This window comes from Homo sapiens, chromosome 4 (assembly GCF_000001405.40).
Source record: "Homo sapiens chromosome 4, GRCh38.p14 Primary Assembly".
NCBI classification, from domain to species: domain Eukaryota; kingdom Metazoa; phylum Chordata; class Mammalia; order Primates; family Hominidae; genus Homo; species Homo sapiens.
The window spans coordinates 136,895,457-136,919,924 of NC_000004.12; the positions used below are offsets into that span (position 1 = coordinate 136,895,457).

The following is a 24,468-nucleotide window of genomic DNA, read 5'->3' on the forward strand; positions in this document are numbered from 1 at the left end:
CTCTCACCTCTCTCTCTCTCTCTCTATATATATATATAAAATATATATAATATATAATATAAAATATATATGATATATGTCATATATATGCATATATATAGACACATATATATAAAATTGGCTTTACTTCTCCGGAGAATCCTGGCAAATACAATTTTTTTTCGCACAAAAGGGGATATAAAGCATCCTGTTCTACCATCAGAAAACAAAAGACTCATTTCACTCTAATTTGATAATTTTAGCACACGTGTTAGAAAAGAAGTTCTATTTATTCAATTTCTCATATATTTTATGAGGCTTTTGCAAGACTAGCATCCCAAGCCATTCTTTGGCATCTTCTATTCTCATTCCGATGAAGGAGGATTGTCCTATTTAATTAGAGGAGATCTTAAGGTCTTCCATTCATTAGCAAACTCTCCTTGAGAAAATAGGAGTTCTTTCCTGTATTCTTGTAACACCCTGTGCTTACATTATCACAGGAAATATGACAGTCTACTTTGGATTTTTCTCCCTTTATTGGGTTTAAGCTTCTCTAAGGCAAAGGTAAGACATTTTTGATCATATGTATAGTCTGTTGTATGGCACCAAATTCATAGTAGTCAATATAAGGTTGGTGATTAATACCCTAAACTACAATATAATTAAGTAGAATCATGCCATGCTTTAGAAATCCCTACATGAATTCATGTTGTATTTCTATGTGAAGAGATAAATAATAATCCTAATTGTGTCATAAATATTAAGCATTAGATTTTGATTAGATGCTGTTGAGTTGAGGAATAAGAATGGGGGCAGGAGAGCGACAAGCTTTCTGCAAAGGAAAATAATATCTTAACTATAACTACATGAATTCATGTTGTATTTCTTGTACTATTTCTTCATGTTAACTTTCTTCAGCTTCAACTTGCTATGTGTTACTCTCTTCTCTCAAGGAGAAGGGGCTATAGTGTGAAAACCCAATCCTTACTCAATCAAACTTTTGAAAAGATACTCACTTAACAACTGATGAATTGGTGCTCTAGGTTGAAGAAAAAACCAGATATTCTCATATAGGATGAAAATGTCTAGGTCTTGTGGACAAAGGTACTATTCAAGTTCCTGCATAATTTTCTAATGAGAATACATGATGAACCATTGCATCTATCTATGTTTCAGCTATCTATCAATATTCTGGGTAATTCATTTATACTTCATTTAGGGACCATCCATTAAAAATGTTTAATTATTAATCCCACTTGAGGATTTCAAGTGGAAGTAGAATTAATTCTGGAAAGAAGAGTATAGAATCAATGAAGGAGAATGAACTCACAATGAGGAAGAAGCTTGCAAAAACTTTTTGCTTGGGTAACAGACTTAACCTGAGATTATCTAAATTTGGGATTTTGCTCTAGCAATAAAGACAATCTTTTAGATTATACCATCTTCTATAGGAAGCTTGTGCTATAGTTTTCTCACAGCATTGAAGGAGAGTAAAAGAGTTTGTTGCTCTTTCCACCAGCCACCTTTGATTACCATCTCCAAAGCTGGTAGATTTATTTATTGAGCTCTTGCTTTTTGTCAGACATTGTATAGTCTTCTATAATACAATAACTAATTCACTCAAAACTAAGACACACTCTGTTTATGGCCTCCAAACTATATGATTTCCTTTGAGAAAGGGAAGGTTAAAAAAAGATAAATAATAATCTTAATTGTGTCATAAATCTTAAGCATTAGATTTCTGATTAAACACTGTTGGGTTGAGGAATAAGAATGGGAGCAGGAGACCAACAAGCTTTCTGCAAAGGAAGATGATATCTTAACTATAAAACTGGAATATTGATACTTTAGCTTTGAGTCCAGTATTTTAGCTATAACAACACAACTCTGTTGCAAATAGCCACTGTAGCATATTAATAAGTTAATTTTTTGAGTATGACAATGTTGAAAGTCTACCTGACTCATTTCCATCACTAGATCTATGATTTGGTGGGCAGCAAGTGTGAGTGTCAGCCTGCAGCAAAAAGTAGCTGGAGTTTCTGTACCAGGGGAGGAGGTAGCCTTTGCAGTATCCTGGAGTCTCATAATGAAGAGTAATAAGTCACCATTCATACATTGATGGCATTTGTTGCCTAATGAATGTTCAATATTCACATAGCTGAATGGCATACCTCAGTTGATTTGTGTATGTGTAGATTTTTAAATTGAAGTTTTGGTCACAATGTCTTCAGCACAATGAGTCTAGCTCATGTTCACTGAGAGCACGGTTTTTATAGAAGAGAAATAATACAGGACACTTTGCAAAAATCTTAGGTAGCTTAAGAACAATAAATTTAAGTGAGTGTTTTTGTATTTAGAAAAAGGGATATAATCAGGCCTTTTGTTTTATGAAGTTTCAAAAGAAAAAGCTGCCAAATATTTAGAGATGGATACTTGGGAGTAGAAAAGAGTTCAGTAGTTCTGGGTATGTGAGGTGATAAACTCTAGAACGAGTTCCACTAGAAAATTTCTGCATGTGAACATAAAATAATTCATAAAATATAAATCAGCACTACTCATTTACATATATCTGAAGTATGACACCATATATTAACAGGTAGAAGCAATAGATAATAATGAGCTGATCCTATTATTCTTACCATTTAGTTTAAATGTGGAAACAGAACATTTTGGACAATAAATTTTTCACATAGCCTTTGGAAAATTCAAGGAGCAAATATTGGACTTCCTGATAGTATGGCCAAAGGTAGTTGTATCAATTAATGGAAAAAAAAAAAACGTAAAAATTTAGTATTCTGCTTTAGTGGGATATTTTATTCTTGTAATTAAGGTATTTGCCTATAAGTAGTTACCTGAAAATTAGTATTCTATAGTCCCTTTGTTAGTTGAGTGAAGTCCTTCAGAATTCCCATAACATCGTGTCTATCACTTTATTATAGCTCTTCTCAGATCATATTAGAACAGTCTGTCTGTGAGCATTTGAGGGTGAGGTTTCTTTCTTATTTGCACAGGAATCCTCAGTACCTATTGTGGCTATTAGCAAGCAGTAAGAACTGAATCATTTTTTCTTAAGTAACCAGATTTCTAAAAGTCTATGGTCAAGTGAAGACCCTCAGCAAACTACCAGTCTGTTAAAAACTTATGTAACTGCAACTGAAAAATGAGAAAAACAGTACATAGTTATTTTATCTTGCTTTCTTTCAATACAGTGGGAACTCTAATCCTTATGTATGCAGAAGAAATATCTCAACAAAGTACCAAAATTAGGCTGAGTAGAAAGGAAGGAAAATGTACATATTAAGTTCTTTTTTTTTTTTTCAAAGCAACTGTGCTAATTTAATTTAGATTTTGAGACATCTGGACACTATATGAGGCAGGCATAAAATTTTGTCTGGGAGTAACCAGCAAGAAAATGTTTTACTATCTGTATATTTCAAATGTAATTTTCAGCTGGTAATTCTACCCAGGTCTGTTATTTACACTACCCAGATGAGTTAGCAGGTTTATTCCTAGATGTGACTAGTTAATCTCCCACCTTCCCCCTCCATAGCCATGTCTCTGGATTGAATCTTTTTATGCCGTCCTGTTATTCAACAGTTGGAGGCTCTTTGTATGCCTGAGTGACTGCATTCCTTCAGAAACTGGTGGTCAGGATACAGCAGTTACAGTAACTGAAGGGGCTGCTCTGTCTTTGGACTTTACAAATTCTGGATGAGTCTAACTCACAGTGGTTTGAGGCAGGTAATAGTTGGTTTCCACTTTATTCTGCATATGTAAACCTGCACACAGTCCCTGTGTCTGCTGCACTAAGAGTTGGTGTGTGTCCATGCTAAGCAACTGGTTTTCCTAGTTGCAATCAGGATTGCCTTTTGGAATCACATGTCAGGTAGAAATGTCGATGCAAAGAGTCAAACTCTGTGAAATATTCACAGAGACTTATTCCAAGCCAAATATGAGTGACAATGTCCTGTGACACAGTCCCAACATGTGCCCAGGATGGTCAGTCTACAGTTTGGTTTTATACATTTTAGCGAGATATAAGTCATCAATCAATACATGTAAGATGGTATATTGGTTTGGTACAGAAAGGTGCAACAACTCAAAGTGGGGGCTTCCAAGTCATAGGTGGATTCAGAGATTTTCTGATTGACAATTGCTTGAAAGAGTTATTATCTAAAGACTTGGAAGCAATAGAAAGGAATTTCCAGATTAAGATAAGGGGTTGTGGAGACCCCTTTATCATGCAGATAAAACCTCCAGATGGCAGGCTTCAGAGCTCTTATCAAACCTAAAAAGATGCCAGACTCAGTTAATTCTCTCTTGGATCAGGAAAAAGACCTTGAAAGGAAAGGGGATTCTCTAAAAAAAAAAAAAAAAAAAAAAAAGGTATATTCTCCACTCTTTACAGGGTCATTTCAAAATATGTCAAAGAAATATATTTTTGGGTAAAATAATTTCTTCCAGTGCCTGCTATCTGTCATGTGATATTACACTAGAGTCAGGCTAGAATTTGGTGTCTTATTGCTACACAAAGTCTATTTTGTCAGTCTGAAGATCTGCTTTAATGTTAAGGCTAGTTAGCTGTGCTTGAATTCCAAAGAGAGGAGGGTATAATGAGGCATGTCCAACCCTATCTTTCCATCATGGTCTGAACTAGATTTTCAGGTTTACTTTGGAATGCCCTTGGCACAGAGGGGGTACTTTCAGTTGTTTGGGAGGCTTAGGATTTTATTTGGGGTTTACAGAAGTATGAAAAATGACTGAACAGATGCATGACTTGAGATATGAAAACTGGCCAGGAAGTATTTCTGTTGTTTTAGAGAAGACTCAAGAAAAGGTGGAGCTAAGACCATGGCATGGAAATGCAGTCGAGAAGGCCATTATGAGAGAAAGAACCGAATATCTTAGTGAACAAAAGGAAAGGAAAAGTCCTAGGCCCAGGGTTTTAGAACAGCCAGAAATTAAGCCCTGATAGCAATTTTGTTGGCAAATCTGTATGGGTTTTGGCCATATGAAGATGAATAGTTGGCCAGGTGCAGTGGCTCACACCTCTAATCCCAGCACTTTGGGGGGCCGAGGGAGGCGGATCACAAGGTCAAGAGATCAAGATCATCTTGGCCAACATGGTGAAACCCCATCTCTACTAAAAATACAAAAATTAGCCAGGCATGGTGGCATGCGCCTGTAATCCCAGCTACTTGGGAGGCTGAGGCAGGAGAATCGCTTGAACCCAGGAGGCAGAGGTTGCAGTGAGCCGAGATCATGCCACTGCACTCCAGCCTGGCGACAAAGTGAGACTCCGTCTCAAGAAAAGAACCAAGATGAACAGTTATGGTGAAATGAAGAGTCAGCCTCAAATTGCAGAGACAAATAGTAAAAAATAAATGGAAAGGAGTTCCATATGGGCTTCTTACTCCAGACTGCAGATGCTGAGTCACTGCCAATGGCACTATCTCTGAACAGGAAGTCCTCCTTGATCATTTGTCTCACAGTGGGTTTATGACAGCTGGAGTTCCCACAAAAACCAATGATGCTGACATATACAAATGAAAAATGTTGTTCCATATAACTTTTATTTAGGGAGAATATTCATCACATGAATTTTAGCAGGTAGTGTAGGAGTCACAACCTATGACCCTTGGGCCAAATGCAGCCTTCAGCCTGTTTGTAATAAAGTTTTTTAGGACATGTCCATTCCCGTTCTTTTATGTCTGCCTGCTTTCAAGCTACTGTAGCAGAACTGAGTGGTTATGCCCCGCAAAGCCTAAAATATCTACTACCTGCCTCTTTATAAGATGAAAATAATTGTCAATGCCTGTTAGAACATCAACTCCCTCAAAGTTTCTTTCCTTGGCAAATTTTTTAATATCTTCTATACAATTCTTAAATTTTATATGGTTTTGCATACTTTTGTAATTAAAAAGAGTTGTATCAACAGGACTGTTCCATATTATCATCTTCAATTTACATTTCTAAACATTTTTAGTAGGCTACAGACTAAGGTTTTTGGTGCTGTTATGGAATCTTAATTATTTGAATCAAATTGGTTACATATATTTAACTATTTAGGCCAATATTTTTTATTCATGTAAATCAGAAACCCAATACCTTTCCTGGGGAAAAGAGTGAATGATCAGCCTTTCTGATCTTTCTTTAAAGAAGACATATACTCTTTATATTAATATGCTTTAAACCTAAAATTTTTATATTTTCATATATAACAGGAAAATTGGCAGAGGGGGCACATACTCATATCATGAGACTTACAGTTTCCAAATTCTGACTTAGAATTACTTGACATTCCTTCCCCTGTCTTCTCCCTTTCATTTTCTCTCTTTCTGTCCCAGCATTGGCAGGACAGTCTTTTCTGGGATCCACAAGGTTTTATCTCAGGGAGTGGCAGACGTAGAACTGGCAAGAATTGACTAACTGGGACGACTTTATTAAAATTCCCTAGTACAAATTGAGAGATCAGGGACAATATAACAACAAAGGAAGGGATGTTCCGTAATGTTGGACGGCAAAAATTGCCAGAGGTCCGGTTGTCCTGACATTAAGAATCTCAAAGTAAAGTTAATTGTCCTTTACTTCTCCTCAAAGTGTCCTGAAATTAGGAAACTGCTTCACTTTTCTTTGGAAAGTACCCTTTGCATCTGATCAAAGTTTCTCTTTTTTCCTAGACCAAACTAAAATTAGAACAAAAACTCAACAATTTTTCTAACACATATGTACCCAAAAACTTACACTGTCCTTTCAGGTTTCCTCAAGGTTGTTTTATTTAGACAAAGAAGGAGGAAAAGAAAGAAAAACACATATCCTGGCTGATGACCATCAGTATTTGAACATTAAAACTTTTTCTCTCAAAGAAGCTTTTATTAACTCAACCATCATTACACTTGGTTCTTTCTCTCTTCCACAAAAAAGTTAAATGTTTTGAAATACACTAATAAGTCATCTCTCCTTTTTATCCTTAAGTTATTACTATCAGTTTTCTGCCCCCATAATTTCTCTGAGCCGGAAATATCCAGAATCATTGAACAAATTCACCCTAAATTACCTGAATATTTTCTTCCCTTTCTCTTTGCATACAAGTGCCATTTTAGTAGCATTTGTTTCTTTTGCTCCCTTATTCCATCTTAAAGTATAATTTTACTTCTATAAAGCTACAAAACTATATTTCACACCACACAACTATCTTGCTTGCTAAATATATAGGTTGAATTGCCTATTTGACATGTACCCTTGAGTCATAGACATATCACACTCGATGTTTGATCATTTAAATGCATTATGTCTCAAACCTGCCTCTTTTCCAGTGATCCCTCTTTTGTTTTTACATTTTTTTGTAGAGATGAGGCCTCACTGTGTTACCCAGGCTTGTCTCAAACTATTGGCCTCAAATGATCTTGCTGCCTCAGTCTCCCAAAGTGCTGGGATTACTGGTGTGTGCCACCACTCCCAGCCTGATCTCTCTTTAAGTGAATGATATTAATGTTTACCCAGTTGCCTTACGTGGGAGACAAACGTCTGATTATAGCACTTCTCTGTTTGCAACTTTTCAAAGGCTTCCCTTTCCTTTAAGGAGAAAGTCTATACTCTGAAACCTGACTTACATGTCCCCTCATGGTTTGGTTCCTGTTTTCCTTTCCAACTTTGGCTCTCAAGCTAGTATAATTTTCCCTCCATAATCCAGTAACTATCACTGAAATTATTTCCATTCCTTAAGAGCCCCGTGTTTTGTTGTCATATCTAAATTTTAAAATATGCATTTCCCTGCGACTGTAAGATATATTTCCACTCTGCGTTATAAGTATGGTGCAGATGGTGGAAGACATGTCTGCTTACCGTTATATTCCCACCCTCAAGATGGTGCATGGCATTGAGTAGACAGTAGAAGATGGCACAATAACACTCAGCCTTGTTATCAGTTATTCTGTTCTGGATATTTTGACCCTATAAATGTTATTGTTGTGGTTGTTGTTATTATAACTTGTTTATTTGTTTGTTTTGAGGCAGACTGGTACGTCTTTTAATGTGCATTTATAGGGTACTAAAGCAATTTGAAGAAAAGCAAGTATACTATTTATCACAACCATGTTCTGAACAGTCTCTGAATTTTGATAAAAAGCTACAGCCATTTATTTTTAGGGACAGAGTCCCAGCCAGAAGCCCTTATTTTCCTCACTGTATGAGAGTCACACTTGCAGTGAGAGCTATGGGGAAGGCCAGTTAGCCATGGGTGTCACCACATGGGAAAAACTGATCTTTTAAATATGAGTGAAGTATATAAGTTATTTATAACTAATTCATGATATACCTGGGCAGAAAAGTTGTGTTTTCAATGGTTTTATTAACGTTGCAAACAATTTATCATTTTTCTTTTTTTCTTTTTTTTTTTTTGACTGGGAGTTTTGCTCTTGTCACCCAGGTGGGAGGGCAATCGCGCGATCTTGGCTCACTGTAACCTCCACCACCTGGGTTTAAGTGATTCTCCTGCCTCAGCCTCCTGGGTAGTGGGGATTACAGGCGCCTGCCACCATGCCCAGCTAATTTTTGTAGTTTTAGTAGAGACGGGGTTTCTCCATGTTGGTCAGGCTGGTCTCAAATTCCCGACCTCAGGTGATCCGCCCACGTTGGCCTCCCAAAGTGTTGGGATTACAGGTGTGAGGCACCATGCCCAGCCAATTTATCATTTTTCTCTCCATTTGCCATACTTTTTTCTTGTTTTTGTTTATCAATTTAGTTCTAAGACTATGGACACTTAGAGTCAGAACAAATAAAATAACATTATTTTAACTTTCATATCTCTACCTTTAAATTGGTGTTACTAGTGATTTGAATTTGTTAATTTGCTTTACTTTGTAATATTCATTACTTACTGGATGCTTCTGAATTTTAACAAAAAGTACTCTATATTTACAAAGGTAATAACCGTCCTACACAACATTTTCATTAGTTCAGGCTGTTGGGAAGCTTGAAGACTTCAGTGTAAGCAACATATGCAATATGTTCTAATTTTTCCACATGAAGTAGTAGTATAGACTTACAGAAGTTACTCAGACACCGTGAAAATGATATATGTTCTACAAATGCATTAATACTACTACTGATTCTAGAAAATAGCCCCAGTGTTCATCTATAGTATTCTACAGCTGGAATTAAAAGAAATAATAATAATAATAAGATATGTGAAGATAATTTAACACGATGTGTGCAATTCAATTAAAACCCAAAACATTTCTTCAAGCTTTTGCAGATTTATTTCTATTACTCTTAGATTTTAAAACTAAATTCCAATAGCTAGATGATTCTGTTAGCACCACCGAGCCTATCAACGTGACAAAATATCTTAAAGAGATACTAACACGCATGCATCATTAGCCATTAAAAATTCTCCCTCAGTTATTGGAACAGATGGTAGGAATAGCACATCTTGGAAACTACTTGGCTAATAGGAATATAAACCATCCAGAATAAATAAAACTACAAATTAATGTACTTTCCTTCAAATCTTGCTGAAAATATGTTCAAAAAATGTAAAAGAAAAGTAGAGATTGAAAAATAAAAATCAAGTGTATATTTTTATCACAAGACAAAACAAGAAACCGAATGTGATCCAGGAAATATATAGAAGATTGATTGCAGAAATGAGGGCATATAATCTACATAAAACAACTATGGTAATACACAGTAGTGATTGTATCTGGTTAATACATTATTAGAGTGGTAACATGTCCAGCCAAAAACAATAGTGTTTAATGAAGACTGTTAGTGTTTAAGTAAAGATAACTATTTTTCCTGATGATGCTGCTTATATGAATCTATTTTTTAACCTTACAGAATTTAGTCACTGATTGGTGATGTGTACTTTTATAAAATTTAATTCTGTTTATAAACTTTAAGGATCCTAAGCTAAATAAACATAATGAAGTTTATTATAAAAATAAAGCAGTTCAACCTTTTGAAGACCCACAGATTTAGCAACTAATCTACTCATTTACTAATAATTGTATTAAATTTAATTCACTTTCCAGAGTCTATATGATGAGCTCTTAAAGCATAGTGGTCATACATTATTTGCATACATTGTAAGAATGCTTGAAATTCCATTTATAGTGCCTTTGAAGGAACTTTAGTTTATCATTGGAAAGATGCTATGATAATTAGAAGGCATTGTAAATAGATTATTGCTCATGACAACCGCATTCTTTCATCATGGCCCAAATTCATGACTTGTCCATTAAATTCACACACACACACACACACACACACACATTGGATCTGTGCAAATAAAAATGCATTCTTAAGAGAAGTAACATTTGAAATGTAGAATACATAACACTTTAAGACTATGTTCTATTACATATTATTTTTGGAAATGGCAAATAGTATGGGAATTGATTATCTTAGGCATATGACCCTCACATGCTCTTCTAAATCTTCAAATTTATTTGAAAAGGTGTCTGGTACCTGTTACAAACACCAAGACCCATCAGCTATCTAGTTGTGTTTTCTTAAGACAAAAACAATTTAGCTGGCAGAAATAAGAAAATTGCCTCCGAAGTAAATTCACCAAATTTACACTTACAACCAAATGATTTTTGACAAAGGTGCTAAGAATATACACTGAGAAAATGAGACCCTCTTCAATAAATGGTCCTTGGAAAAATGGACATCCACATGCAGAAGAATAAAGCTAGATGCCTATCTCTCCTCAAACACAAAATTCAACTCAAAATGGATTAAAGACTGAAACATGAAACTATAAAATTACTGAAAGGAAACGGGAAATGCTCAGGACACTGGTTTAGGCAAAGATTTTATGGCTAACACTTCAAAAGCACGGGCAATTCCCCCAAATTCTGACAAATGGAATTAAATTAAACTAAAACACTCTTTACAGAAAAGAAAACAATCAACAAAATGAAAAGACAACCTGTAGAATGAGAAAAAAATTGCAAAGTACTCATTTAACAACAGACTTATATGTAACATCTGCAAAAAACTCAACAGCAGGAAACAAAACAAAAATGAAAAAAAACTGAATAATGTAATTAAAAAGTGGGTAAAGGAACTGAACAGATATTTCTCAAAAGGAGATATGCAAATGGTCAATAGGCATATGAAAAATGCTCAACATTATTAATCATCACTGAAATGCAAATAAAAACCACAATGAGATAACAAATATATTTTAACTGGATTAGTTAGAATGACTTATCAAAAAGTTAGAATGGCTATTATCAAAAAGACAAAAAATAACAAATGCTGGGGAGGATGTGGAGAAAAGGGAACTCTTGTGCAATGTTGATGGGAATATAAATTAGCACAGCCATTATGGACAAAGCAAGAAGATTTCTCAGAAAACTAAAAACAGAACCACCATATGACCCAGCAAGTCTACTACTAGGTATTTATCCAAAGGAAAGGAAATCAGTATATCAAAGGTATACCTGCATCACCATGTTTATTGCAGCACCATGCACAACTGGCTAAGACATGGAATCAACTAAAATGTCCATCAACGGAGAGATGGATAAAAAATGTGTTATGTATACATATAAATGAATGAATCCTGTCATTTGCAGCAACATGGCTAGATCTGGAGTATATTAAGGGAAATAAGTCAGGAACAGAAAGATAAATATCACATGTTTGCGCACATACGTGAAAGCTAAATTTTAAAAAATTAAACTCATGATAGTAGAGAGTAGAATTGTGATTATTAGAAGCTAGGAAAGGGAGAGGGTGGGAAAGATTAGGAAATATTTGTTAACAGATACAAAGCTACAGCTAGATGACCAGAATGAGTTCTTGTGTTTTACCACACTATAGGTTGAATATGATTACCCATAGTTTATTATATATTTTCAAAAGTCTGGAAGACAGAATTTTGAACGTCCAGTCCACAAAACAGTACATGTTTGAGGTAATGGATATGCTAATTACCCTCATTTGATCATTATAATTGTATACACATGTGGAAATATCAATCTATATTCCATAAATATGCACAATTGTTATGTGTCAATCAAAAATAAAAGGAAAAAATAAATAAGAGGAGTACATTAGCTATGCCCTCGCCCCCTCCTTGGCCCCCACGCTCACCATTTGCCACAGTAAAGAATTTGCTCTGGGCAAGAGAAATATTTTCACTAACTACAAATTTTAACATCTTCTTAATAAAAACTCACACCAATTCCATTTTTTCCACCCAGAGGATAAAGTAAGCATCTCTTTTCATATTAAAAGTTCGGGCAGGGGAGTGAGTTTGTCCGAAGGCAAAGATAATTTCAGCAGAGGAAGACTGATGCTATAGTCCTATCCCATCTCTGTCCTGGTGGGCAGTCTCTCCTCTCCTTTCTCTCTCTCTCTCTTCCCCACTCTCCTTTGTGTGTGTGTGTGTGTGTGTGTCTCCTAATTCTGCATTTTTCTCTACAGTTTTTGTCCTCTGGCATACTTTATAGTAGTCTCTAAATTTACTTCTCTATCTTCTCTCTAAACCATAAGCTCCATGATAAAAGAATTTTGCCTTTCCCTACTACCATATCTCCAGTATCTAGAGCAGTGCCTGCAAAGAGTGGACCTTTAATAAATACTTATTGAATTAAAATTTCCCCTTTATCCTGAGAGTTCCTGTCTCCCAAATTAATATCCCAAGTCACCTATGATCAGATTTTTTTAATCACTTTTGCCAAATGTCAAAAGAAGACTGGCTACATAATTTAAGACCAGTGAAAAAATGAATTGTCTAAAATTATTAAGAATTTCAAGACAAAGACAGCAGAGCATTAAACAAAGCACAAGTACTTCTGAGTGTGGGGCCATTGACAACTGTACAGACCTCACACGTGTGAAGCCACCCTTGTTCAAAACCCTTTGTGTTTAGACTTTTACATAACAAATAAGGAAACAAAGATATTCTTTAACATTCCTAATACCATTGTTTATAGATAGCCAACTATAAAAGGGACCGGAATTGGGATACTGGTTGAAGTGATGTATGTAAATTGAATCAGTAGAGAAGAAAATTTTACATGGAAGCCAGGGCAGAGTGATATTGTCATTTACAGTACACTTATTTTAAAAAATTAAATAAATTTTTGCACCCTCCAAGTTCACTGTTAGTTATATGTTATTACTAGATCTCTATATGATCAATAATATTACACCTCAACACTACACACATGTTGAGTTGTGATATGGAGTGCTGTGGCGGCTGCTGTGATCCTCTATAAAAGGGTTTTTAATCTCCGTTTAGCAGCCAGTGGACAGCCAGGAGTGGTATAATTAGACATCATTCAAATTTGAGGGAACAAACTTGAAAATTGAAAAATTGCAGAGAAGACAATTGATATGCCAAGTAGGACTTCCTAGGCAGAATAAGAGACAGAGTTAATCAAGACTCATTAGTGTGGTCCAAGACAAAATGAGATATAATGGATGAAATGAGAAATTTTGGTGCTAGTGTCATAATTGCAATTCTTCCATTACAGTATCCTTTTATAAGCAGTTTGGTTCATCATACAGAGGTGAACTTAGCAGGGCTAGAATACAAAATTGTGTCACATACACCTTTTTTTTTTTTTCTGGAGTTTAGAGTTTACATAATCACAATACCATAAATGCCAATCATAATTATATAAGTATTTTTAATCTATTATAAAACCTAACTTACGCCCAATGAAAAGCTATATTTAAACCAGGTGTATAATGTCAGACTTTGACCCAGTGTTTATTTCAGTGTTTTTAAGTGTCACTCCAAAAGAAACTCTTCTTTTTTCACACCTCCACTCCAGGACTGTAGAATACAATTCTGTGTATAGTGTTTCTGAATGTTCATAATATCCAGAATTAGAAAATGCAGTCAGTTGAAGCACATTATGAATAAAAAGAGGCACTTTCTTTCTAACATATAAAGAAGTGCAAACTATTCATTTTTAAAAGAAAAAACGTTCAGAATAACACAGGTTTGCTTTCTATTCCAATGTTTGCTTCTTCTTTGAGAGTGAAAATAAAACAATAGAAAGAGACATGAAATTAACATGTTTATTTCAATATATTTTATATTCATATTGTTTCTTTGTTCTAGAAACTTCTCCACCTTAACTTCCTAACAATAAAGTACAACTCTTCCTGTGACACTTGAGATTAGATAGTTTCTGGTGATTTACTTTATGATGATATCACAGATGAGTAATAGTTGTGAAAAACAGTCAGTAGCCTATGTTAAAGATTTCCCCAAAGGGAAAGGATTTTTGTGTAAAAGAGAATAAGAGAAGTTCTCATCACAAATTTACATTTGAAAATAGCGTATTTAGAGGTGGAGAAAACAGTTTTCTCAAAGCAGTGATTATATAAGAACAGCTGTGATGACTGGATCTCAGCCAAAACTTTCACATACTCTCAACCCTGTTAGGATACAGCAATAAGGTATCAAATTTAACCATTAGTTAATAGGAGATAGGTCTTAATTAAATATTGGACTCATGCCATCATCGTTACAGTGAAGGCAAATTAGGAAGTAGACGCATGTGAAAATAATTATAAGACAGAGTGAGAGATGTACCTTGGTAACAATGTTTAATTCAGGTGACTCAGAGCCCAGAGTTGTGCCCTATTTGATCTGTATATAATTCTGACACATTTTGCCACTTGACTTAGAAATTTTTTTAAAAAAACTAATTTGACAATTAGACAACTATGGGTTAAAGAAAAAATAGTGGATCATTTTGTAAGTGACCCACATTAGACCTAAGGTTGCATATTTTCTCCTTAAATAGTTTTGTCATATGCATGTAAACAGGAAAGGAAGAAAAAAGAAGTGCTTTTCTCTTATCATTCTACATCATTCTATCTCTTTTTTAATTAACAATAGTTTCATCAAGAAAAGACTTTTTAAAAAAATCAGAAAACCAAAAGTTAAAGCAGAGATGAGCCCAACTGTCTTTTCTCTCTTCCTTCCATTCACTCAATCTGTTAAAATTTTCTTTACTCTTTTGTGAAACTCTACTTGTTGAGAAATGTAAAAAGTAATTTGCAGTTACAAGATTCACTACTCTTATTAATAAAACAAAAACTGGGAAAATGTAATAAATTACAATATATAACATTTAAAAAATGAAGGTAATTTAAAACAAAACTTCACCTTTTAATTCAGAATTTTACTTTTGAAAGATGGCAAAAAACAAACACACACTTGACTATTGCTTATTTTGTAAGATGTGTGCAAAACATAATATAGATCTCTATCTTTATGTATATTATACTAGTTTTAAAAAATATTTATTTTTTTTTTAGTTGACAAAGTAATTGTACACATTTATGGGGTTCAATGTGATGTTTCAATACATGTATATATTGTATAATGATCAAATCTGGGCATCATGCATATTCCGCACTTCATATATTTAGCATTTATTTGTGGTAAGAACATATAAAATCCTCTCCTCTGGCTATTTTGAAATACACAACAGTGTTAACCATAGTTTCCCTAATGTGTACTAGAACACCAAAACTTATTTCTTCTCTCTACTTGTAAATTTGTACCCATTGACAAATCTTTCCCCCACCTCCCTCTCCTCTCCCCTCCCCACCCTCTGCTAACCACTATTCTACTCTCTATTTTCATGAAATCATGTGTTTTAGATTCCGTATATGAGTGAGATCATGTGGGTATTTGTCTTCCTGTGCCTGGCTTATTTCCTTTAACATAATGTCCTCCAGGTTCATCCACGTTGTTGCAAATAGTGATATTTCATTCTTTTTATGGCTGAATAGTATTCCCCTGTGTATGCATACCACATTTTCTTCATGGATTCATCTATGGGTGGGCACATAGGTTGATTTCATATCTTGGCTATTGTGAATAGTGCTGCGGTGAACATGGGGTGCAGATCTCTTTGACACAGCTTCATTTTCTTTGAGTATATAACAATAGTAATGTTGGTGGATCTTTTTTTCCCTTTTATACTATGCTATTTCACAGTGTCTGAAAATAATTACTTTTTACATATTGCCCAATGGCAGGAATGTATGGGAGGACCCTCCTAACCTCTCAATGCAGGAAGGAGAAGACTCTGTTCTTCATTGAAACAGGTAGCTCAGTCCTCCCACTATTGCAAGATTTTAATGTAAAATAGCTTTAACTTTTAGAAAAGTTGCAAGAATAGTTCATAGAACTCCTGTATATCATTTAGCTAGAGTCTCTACTCACTTTTCACCAACTGTCCCAGGAACAGCCTTTGGAGGAAAGGTTCCAGTTCAGGATCATACATTGTACCTGGGTATCTTGTCTCTCCAATCACTTTCCATCTAAGTCAGTCCCTTGATCTTTCTTTGATTTTTAAGTACTTTAGTATTTTTGAAGATTATTGCTGAAGAAGTTAAGGATGAAATACCCTCAATTGCCCCAACCTAGCATATGGATTATTTTGAGCTGAAAGCACTTGAGAAGCATCAGTATCAGAGAGACTTATCTGAACTTCCCTTTCTCATCTATAGCAAGCCATTAGAATTCCTGTGAGAATGCCGCCTTCCCTCACCAACACAAGAACACAACCTGTATTACCAGTGATTGAGAAGTGATGCTGCAATGGATTTTAATATATAAATAAAAGTAGTAAATAAACCTTATCTTCTACTTGGCTTTATACCCCTCTGTGTAGCTCCTAGTTACTTCCCTAGAATTCACAACAACTAGTCCAGACTCCAATGTTTTTATCATTTTTTTCACAAGATTTATCATTCTTTGTTTAAAAAGAACTAAAGCTTCCTGCTTTGGCTATTACTTCAGGTCTTCCCTCTCTCATGAGGATCTCCATGTAAAATTAAGAAAACTTGTATGCTTTTTTCCTTGTTAATCTGGTTTGTGTCAGTTTGGTTCCTAGACCCAGCCAAAGATCCCACTGAAGAACTATAATGGCTGGCTGAGATCTTTAGGCACCCCTACATAATCCAGTCATTTTGTAAAACATCCCTCAATTTGGATTTGTTCAATATTTCTTTATGATTAGACCCAGGGAATGCATATCAAATTTGCTATGTGCTTTCCCTTGCAATCTCTGGGTGGCACCTGATATTTCTCCGTTCCACGACTGACGGTAATGACTATGTCCACTTTATAAAGATGATACATCAAGGTTTTTTTCCTTTTCTGTAAATTTCCTTTTTTGTTCCTTTGTGTTTAATAAATGTTTTGGTGGGAGATACTTTGAAACCATTTAAAACCCTCCTATTCAACCCTTTCACCCACTCATTTTAGCACACCTTAATGTTGCTGGAATTAATTGTATAGTGACTGCCAAACAGTGATGTTCAAATGTACCAAATCCTTATAGCTGTTAGCTGGCATTCCACTGTGTGGAAGAATTTGCCATTATCATATGATTCATTAATTCATTAACTTAGATGCATGGACTTCCGGATTCTCATGTTACTGAATGAATTATAATTTGTTACTATCATTAGTTGTTTTGATGCTCAAATTCTCCCATATTTGGCTGCTGGAAACCCATTAATGTTGGCTTTTCTGTCTTTAAAAAAATCCCTACATTCTTTGCACACTTCCTAATTCTCTGGCACTCATGATGTTCCAAGTTCTCTTGTACTTGCACTTCCCCAGTCCTAGTATCCGCCATTTCTCCATGGAGCCCTGGTTCGTTTTAGTGGGGAGCAGTGTTTGATACAGAAAAAGAGATGCACAGGGCAAGGTTGTGTGGGAAAGAGCATGGGACTTCCAGATCCTCTCCAGGCATGCCTCCCTTCAGGAACTTCCACATTTTCACCTATCAGGAAACTCTCTGGTACATTATAATATTAGTAAGAAGGAATGCTGTGCAGCACAACATTATTTAATAAAAGCAAAAGATCATATGGAAAGAAATGCTCAAAGGATTGTCTCCGCACCAAAATGTAAACACCACATAGGTGAGGGCTTTGTACTTTTTATTCACTTCTGAATTCCTACCCACCCCACCCCCCCACACACACACACAGACACACAGAATAAATAACTTGCCACAAAACATAAATGCCATAAGATTTAGTTGAGAAAAATCTATTAAGGATTAGGGTACTCAAGAAAACTATCAATTTTCATGTTTGCCCTAGGTCTATACATTTAGATTTTGAAACATAAGCAGCATTTGGGTAGGGAAACTCCAGACAGGCATTTCAGACAATAGAAACTATAGGAAGAAGGACATAGAGACATAAAATGAAACTTATGTTATTGTTGGGTGGTGGTGCAACTAGACTGGGTTGAGAAAGCAATTAGTGTGAGCTTGAGGTGTGTTTTTGTGTGTGTCTGTGTGTATATAGGGAAGGGATAGAGAGATTATGCTAAAAATAGATTGTAAGGGGTTGAAAGTCAGTTTGAAAAGTTAGGCAATAGAAAAATTACATGTATATATGTTCAGGATAATTGTATTTCCTGTATTTTTATATTATAATTTATTTCAGGATAATTTAAAACTGAATATATTTGTGGCAAAAGAAGATGAATAGTGATGCACCAAATCAGGAGTTAGCAGATTATAACCCATGGGGCAATTTCATCAGCCACCTGTTTTTGTAAATAAAGTTTTATTAGAACATACCCACATCAGTTTATATTATCTATGGCTGCCTTCACACCACAATGGCAGAGTTGAATAGTCATGACAGAGAACATCTGGCCCATAAAGCCTAAAATATTTAACATCTGGATCTTTACAAAATATTTGCCAACTCTTGCTCTAGATAAAAACAGAAAACAGGGTGCTTGCTGGTGGGTTATATTTCTACAGAAATATATATGCCATATTTTACAGAGAACAGGGCAAACAGTTCTTTCTGAATTTGGAGGAAGTAGGTGTACAGAGTGTGAATTAAAGTCTTGGAGTCAGAGTCACATCTTTAATCCTTGAGTCTCATGTCCCAGGACATGGAAGACAATGCCATCAATTTATGTGGAAAGAGTAGTGTGAGTAGACTGCAGGGCTCAGAATATATTGTGATTTAGCAACCAATGCAAGAATGTCAAGAAGCCAGTGTGTCTCACCTGTTTAGTGCAATGATAGATGCTCTCTGCTGCAACAGATAACTCTTTAGGTAAATCAATCTGTGTCTTTCTCTCTGTCTCTCTCTTAAACACACACACACACACACACACACACACACACACACAGTAGCAGCAGGAGAAGCATTTCACAAAAGCCCAAACGAGACTGATAAGGAAAAAAACATGTTAGACTTTTACCTGGTCTCCTTGTCCCAAAGGATATTCTTCTCCAAATCCTCTTCATGCTGTTATCAATTAGGATATATTTGTACTGCCCAAACCCTACTCAGTTGGAATAAATGAGAAGTTGGAAATCCAGAGCTGGTTCAGACTTCCTACTGATTGACTCAGAAGTCCAACTTCATCATTTAAAACATAAGTTCTTTCCATCTTTCTGTTCTGCTTCCCAAATTGTCAACATCTTAATCAACTGAACTTCAACTAATCTGAAGTTCAGTTGCTTCAGCCCGTAATTTCTTCATAATTCAGGACATCTATACTTTTAGTAAGTAGTATTGGAACGTTCAGTTTTATTTGGAAGATGAAAGATATTTTCATTGTCTGTTTTCTAACCCAACAGGATTGGAGTAGAAATATGAAGGAACAAATGGACAAATAAGTTTATGATCTTGCTCTCAAGTGGTGCTAAGTAGATGTGTTTGCTATAGATTATGAGACTGGCAATAAAAATACGAGAATAAAAATACAAAATATTATATTTGAAATATTTGATTTAATTAGCCATGTTTTCAAAACTAATCTGTGAGTTTTCACTATGTCATTCTTCAAAAAATTCCACAATGGATACATCAGGGTCTTTAGAACCAAATAGATTTAAGATTAAATTTGAGATCTCCCAGTTATTAGGTACATGGTTTTTGCAATTTACTTAAACTCACTAGGCCTTAGATTCCTAATCTATAAAATGCGATAAAATGTCTGTGAGGCAGTATTTCAGTGAGTAATAATTAAGGAAAAATATGGAAAGTGTCGGACACAGTGACCTACACAGAACAAATGCTCTATAAATAGCAGTTACTATATTTTTGTTGTTTTATGACATATTAGGTTTAATTTCTCCAATAGCATAGTTCCATTACTATAATCCAAACCGTTAATTCAAACAATAGACTTTTACCTGGTCTTCTTGTCCCAAAGGATATTCTTCTCCAAATCCTCTTCATGCTGTTATCAATTAGGATATATTTGTACTGCCCAAACCCTACTCAGTTGGAATAAATGAGAAGTTGGAAATCCAGAGCTGGTTCAGACTTCCTACTGATTGACTCAGAAGTCCAACTTCATCATTTAAAACATAAGTTCTTTCCATCTTTCTGTTCTGCTTCCCAAATTGTCAACATCTTAATCAACATAACTTTTCTTCAAGGTTCTAGTGCCAGTAACAACCTGGACCTGGTTTACATTTGGCAAGGAAAAGAGGAACAGTGCCTTTATACAATTTGCTGTTATAAATGACAGATCCAGTTTCTTGGGATTACTTATACTGAGACCAAAAAGTTTTACCCTTGAGGTTGAGAGTACAGTTTCTTTTTAGACCTTTGAGCTGCGTCTTATGTGTTAGCATGAGAAAAACATAAGTATAGACTAGCTAATATTCACAATAAAACATTTCATACAACATTACTTCAGGATCTCTCTTAGGTCTGTTTAGGGGAAGCGGCAAGCAGGTTTCCTACCTTAGTCCCATGCCTGAGTGTGGTGTACAATTTGGAGTGAATCCTCTTGTATCTGGAATGATACAAGCCCCAAAATAAATAGGTTTCTTTCACCCTTGAGCTTGAGCCACATGTCTTGGCTCTTGCCTTCTCTTTGCCAATGGTATGGACCACTTTTAGTCTATAGCACCTGTGGATAAACAGGTCCCTTATCTTGTGCAGCTTCCATTGCTGGAGCTTATAGTGTTCACTCTATGTCTTCTGCAGATTCTGTGCCATGTGGTTTACAACCCACCCAGTGGTGAACACATATATCTCCTGAAAGGGCTTTTAAGATTGTTGCTCTGCAATATCAAAAGGGCCTTCCAATTGATATCCTCAATTATCTCCAATTATGATACTGTGCTCTCATGGGTCTGGCTTCAGACTGACCCAAAGAAGGATTGGCATTCCCTGTGCAAATTGGACTCCTCCTCATGCTTCACCTACAGGCTGTTTGCCTATCCTCCTCACTAAAGGCAGGCAGGGGTGCTATTGGTGTTGTAGCAATTCAATGATTATAGTCTAAAGTGTTCAAGAGAAGATGTGGCTGGCCAATGGGCTATTCTACATTTATACTATACAATTCTAAATGGTAAATTTAGTATGACCAAAAAAAAAAGAATTATCATTCAAAGTTTCCTGGATACTATGGGCAGGATTTATATCTGTGGTCATCATTAATAAATCATAGTGCTAGTCTTGAGAAAATCATTAAAAGCCAGCATTCATCGGTGACACTTTAGATGATGCAGCCTCACGTGCATTAGTTTTATAGTGATACTATAACACATTATCACAAACTAGGTGGCTTATTTCAACAGAAATTTATTATCTTACACTTCTGGAGGCCAGAAGTTTGAAATTAAAGTGTTAGGTTGGTTCCTTCTGTAGACCTGAAGGGAGAGTGAGTTCAATTCCTCTCTCTAGCTTCTGGCGGTCACTGGCAATCCTTGGTGTCACTTGGATTGTAGACGCATTGCTACAATCTCTGCCTCTTTCTTCACATGTCACTCTTCTCTTCTGTGTCTGTGTCCAACTTTCCCTCCTCTTACAAGGACAAGCGGCATTGCATTAGGGCTCACTCTAATCCAGTGTGATCACATCTTAACTTGATTGTATTTGCAAATACTATTTACAAATAAGGTCTCAAATAAGGCCCAATAAAGCCCATCTGGAGTGGCTGCTGCCATCACACCACTGCAGCATGGTGGTGTGGCTGGGGCTGCACACTCTGTGGAGCCAGAGGGAGCCAGGGACAAGTGGGAGCCCTGACCCTTCCAAGGTGGTAGGGCAGGAGCTCCTGGGTGCAGCTGCAGCTACCCAAGTCGTGGCTGTGGATCCTGCCTCCTGCTCCATGAAGCAGGCAGGTGTCCCACCCTCTCAGATGCAGCTGCAGCCACCCAATTCGTGGCTGAAGACTTGGGCTTTCCTGTGCTCTTGGCAGGGGGCAGGAGCAGGCAAGAGACCTGCCCTCGTGGGCACAGCTGCAGCCACCCAAATTGAGGCTGCACACTTGGGCCTACTGCTTCACAAAGCAGTCAAGAGCACCCAGCCCCACCCTCCCCACAACAGCAGCTGCAGCTGCCCAAACCGTGACTGTGGACACAGGCATCCCTGCACTCTAGGGAACCTGGGAAGGCCCCCCTTGCCCTTGCAGGTTCAGAAGTGCCTGCTCCAAGTGCCTGGCTTTTCCCTGCTATTGGTGCTTACTCTGATCTCAGAGCAAAGTCGAGGCTGAGCCTGGGCACTGTCACAGCCCAGCTGGGTGTGCATGCTCTTGGGGGAGTGCTGATACATAATTCCTCTGCCAACTCAGCCCCCTCTGGACTTTGGTTCCCAATGAGCATAGAAGGGAAGCTGATGGGGGGCTGAGGGCAGCTTGGTACTGGCCTGCAGGTGCCCCTTGGAACCTAGAGCCTGGGCACCAGGAATGGCAGCAGGAGGCAGACAGGCTCTTGGGTGGAAGGGAGTGGTCCCCTGTGAAGCTCCACCTTCAGGCCAGGGTGGGCTTAAAGGCTGAGGGCCGGGCTGTCAGACCCACTGACTGGAGTGGGAACTTGTGGTGCCTTTTCAAGGCCTGCCCATGGTTGTCCGTGGACCAATCAATATGCACTTCCTCCCTGCTAAGGCCCACAAAATCCCTGGAATCAGCCAGAGCAGAGCGGACGTTGGGATGACCAGCTACCCACCCTAGGGCCTCCTCTCTGCTGAGAGATGTAGACATTAGGCCGAATGGCTGCATACAGAAGCTACCCACTCCAGGGCCTCCTCTCTGCTGAGAGCTGCAGACGTTGGTACAAACAGCTGCAGAGAGGAATTGTCTACTCCAGTGCCTCCTCTGAGCTATTCTGTCACTCAATAAAGCTCCTCTTCACCTTGCTCACCCTCCACTTGTCCACATACCACATTTTTCTTAGATGGAAGACAAGAACTTGGGACCTGCCCAATGGCAGGGATGAAAGAGCTATACCACAAACAGGGCTGAAACATGTCCCTTGCTCAACACCTTGTGGGTAAAGAGAAGGAGAGAAGAACTGAAGCCCTTTGGGAAGCCCAGACCTGAGAGCTCACCAAGCCAGGACTGTGACTCCCTCTTTGGGACCCTGAACTTCCTGGAGTCTCCAAGCTTCCAGGCAGCACTTCATTCCCTGGTGGCAGACAGGGAAGCTGCTTGTGGTCCATCTGGTCCCGCCACAGGCTCGCAGAGAACCAGCACACATGTCAGCACCTGGTGCTGCCCACTCTGCTGCAGCAGCTGGGATGACTCACTGTGTGAAATAGCCAGACAACACGCTCGCTCACTCACATACCCCTCACCACTCCATACCTGACCTGCCCTTGGCAGATGTAAGATCCAGGTTGGCAGCATGAGCTGAGCACAGACTGTCAGGCTAAGTGGGCAGAATTAACCCAGGGAGCCCAAGCCAAACTTGGGCAAAGATGCCACTGGCCACATAGGTTTCTGGCAAGAAAAGGGACACCCCAAGGATCCTGCAACATTATGGGTATGGGGAGTTAGTACTGGAATATATCTTTTTGGAGGAAGAGAACACAACTCTACCCACAACAATGAATAATGATGTATACAGCATTAAGTACACTGTATTAAGGATCTTCAGAGTCAAAAAGATCTGTATCATTGAATACTGGAAGGTTCTAAGGAAACTTGCCAGTGGTAACAACATTGCTACTTTTATTTCTTGGCCAGAGATATGAAATTAGCCAGTAATGCACAATTAATAATAGAGAAAAGATGATGCAAGGGCACTATGAAGACTCTTTATGTGTACTCATTGGGTGATAAATACATAAGAGCCTCTTTTCTACCCACTATTCTTAATCTTCATTGATAACTCACTATCTCACGTGTTCTAAATAATTTTGTAAAAATGGTTTTATGAATCAAATTGTTTATATAGACAGGGACTTCCAAAAGTAATTTTGCTGGAACCTCAGCCACCTAGAAGACTTAGTAGCAGCCCTAGTCACTCCCTTCATAAAATAATACCAAAGACTACATTGCCTGTGGTATATACCCAATACCTCTAAAGCTATATAACATGAATTTCTACACTTCTGCTACACAAACTAATTCAGAGTATTATGTTGGGTTTAAATAGCTAGCCTCTAAAAATACTTTAACTCCAAGAGTTATTCCTAGGAAAGAACATGAAAATAAATTTTATTTATTTCACCATATTATTTGTGGATGTAACAGTATATTCATAC

General features: G+C 37.1%; 1 long non-coding RNA gene across 1 annotated transcript in view; it reads right to left on the bottom strand.

Moving 5' to 3' along the window:
* Positions 1 to 24,468, bottom strand: part of LINC02511 (long intergenic non-protein coding RNA 2511) — a 416,898-nt gene that overhangs the window by 99,555 nt on the left and 292,875 nt on the right. The window contains exon 3 of the long non-coding RNA NR_149105.1: positions 20,719 to 20,770. This is a non-coding gene — a long non-coding RNA (long intergenic non-protein coding RNA 2511). The remainder of the gene's footprint in view (positions 1 to 20,718; positions 20,771 to 24,468) is intronic.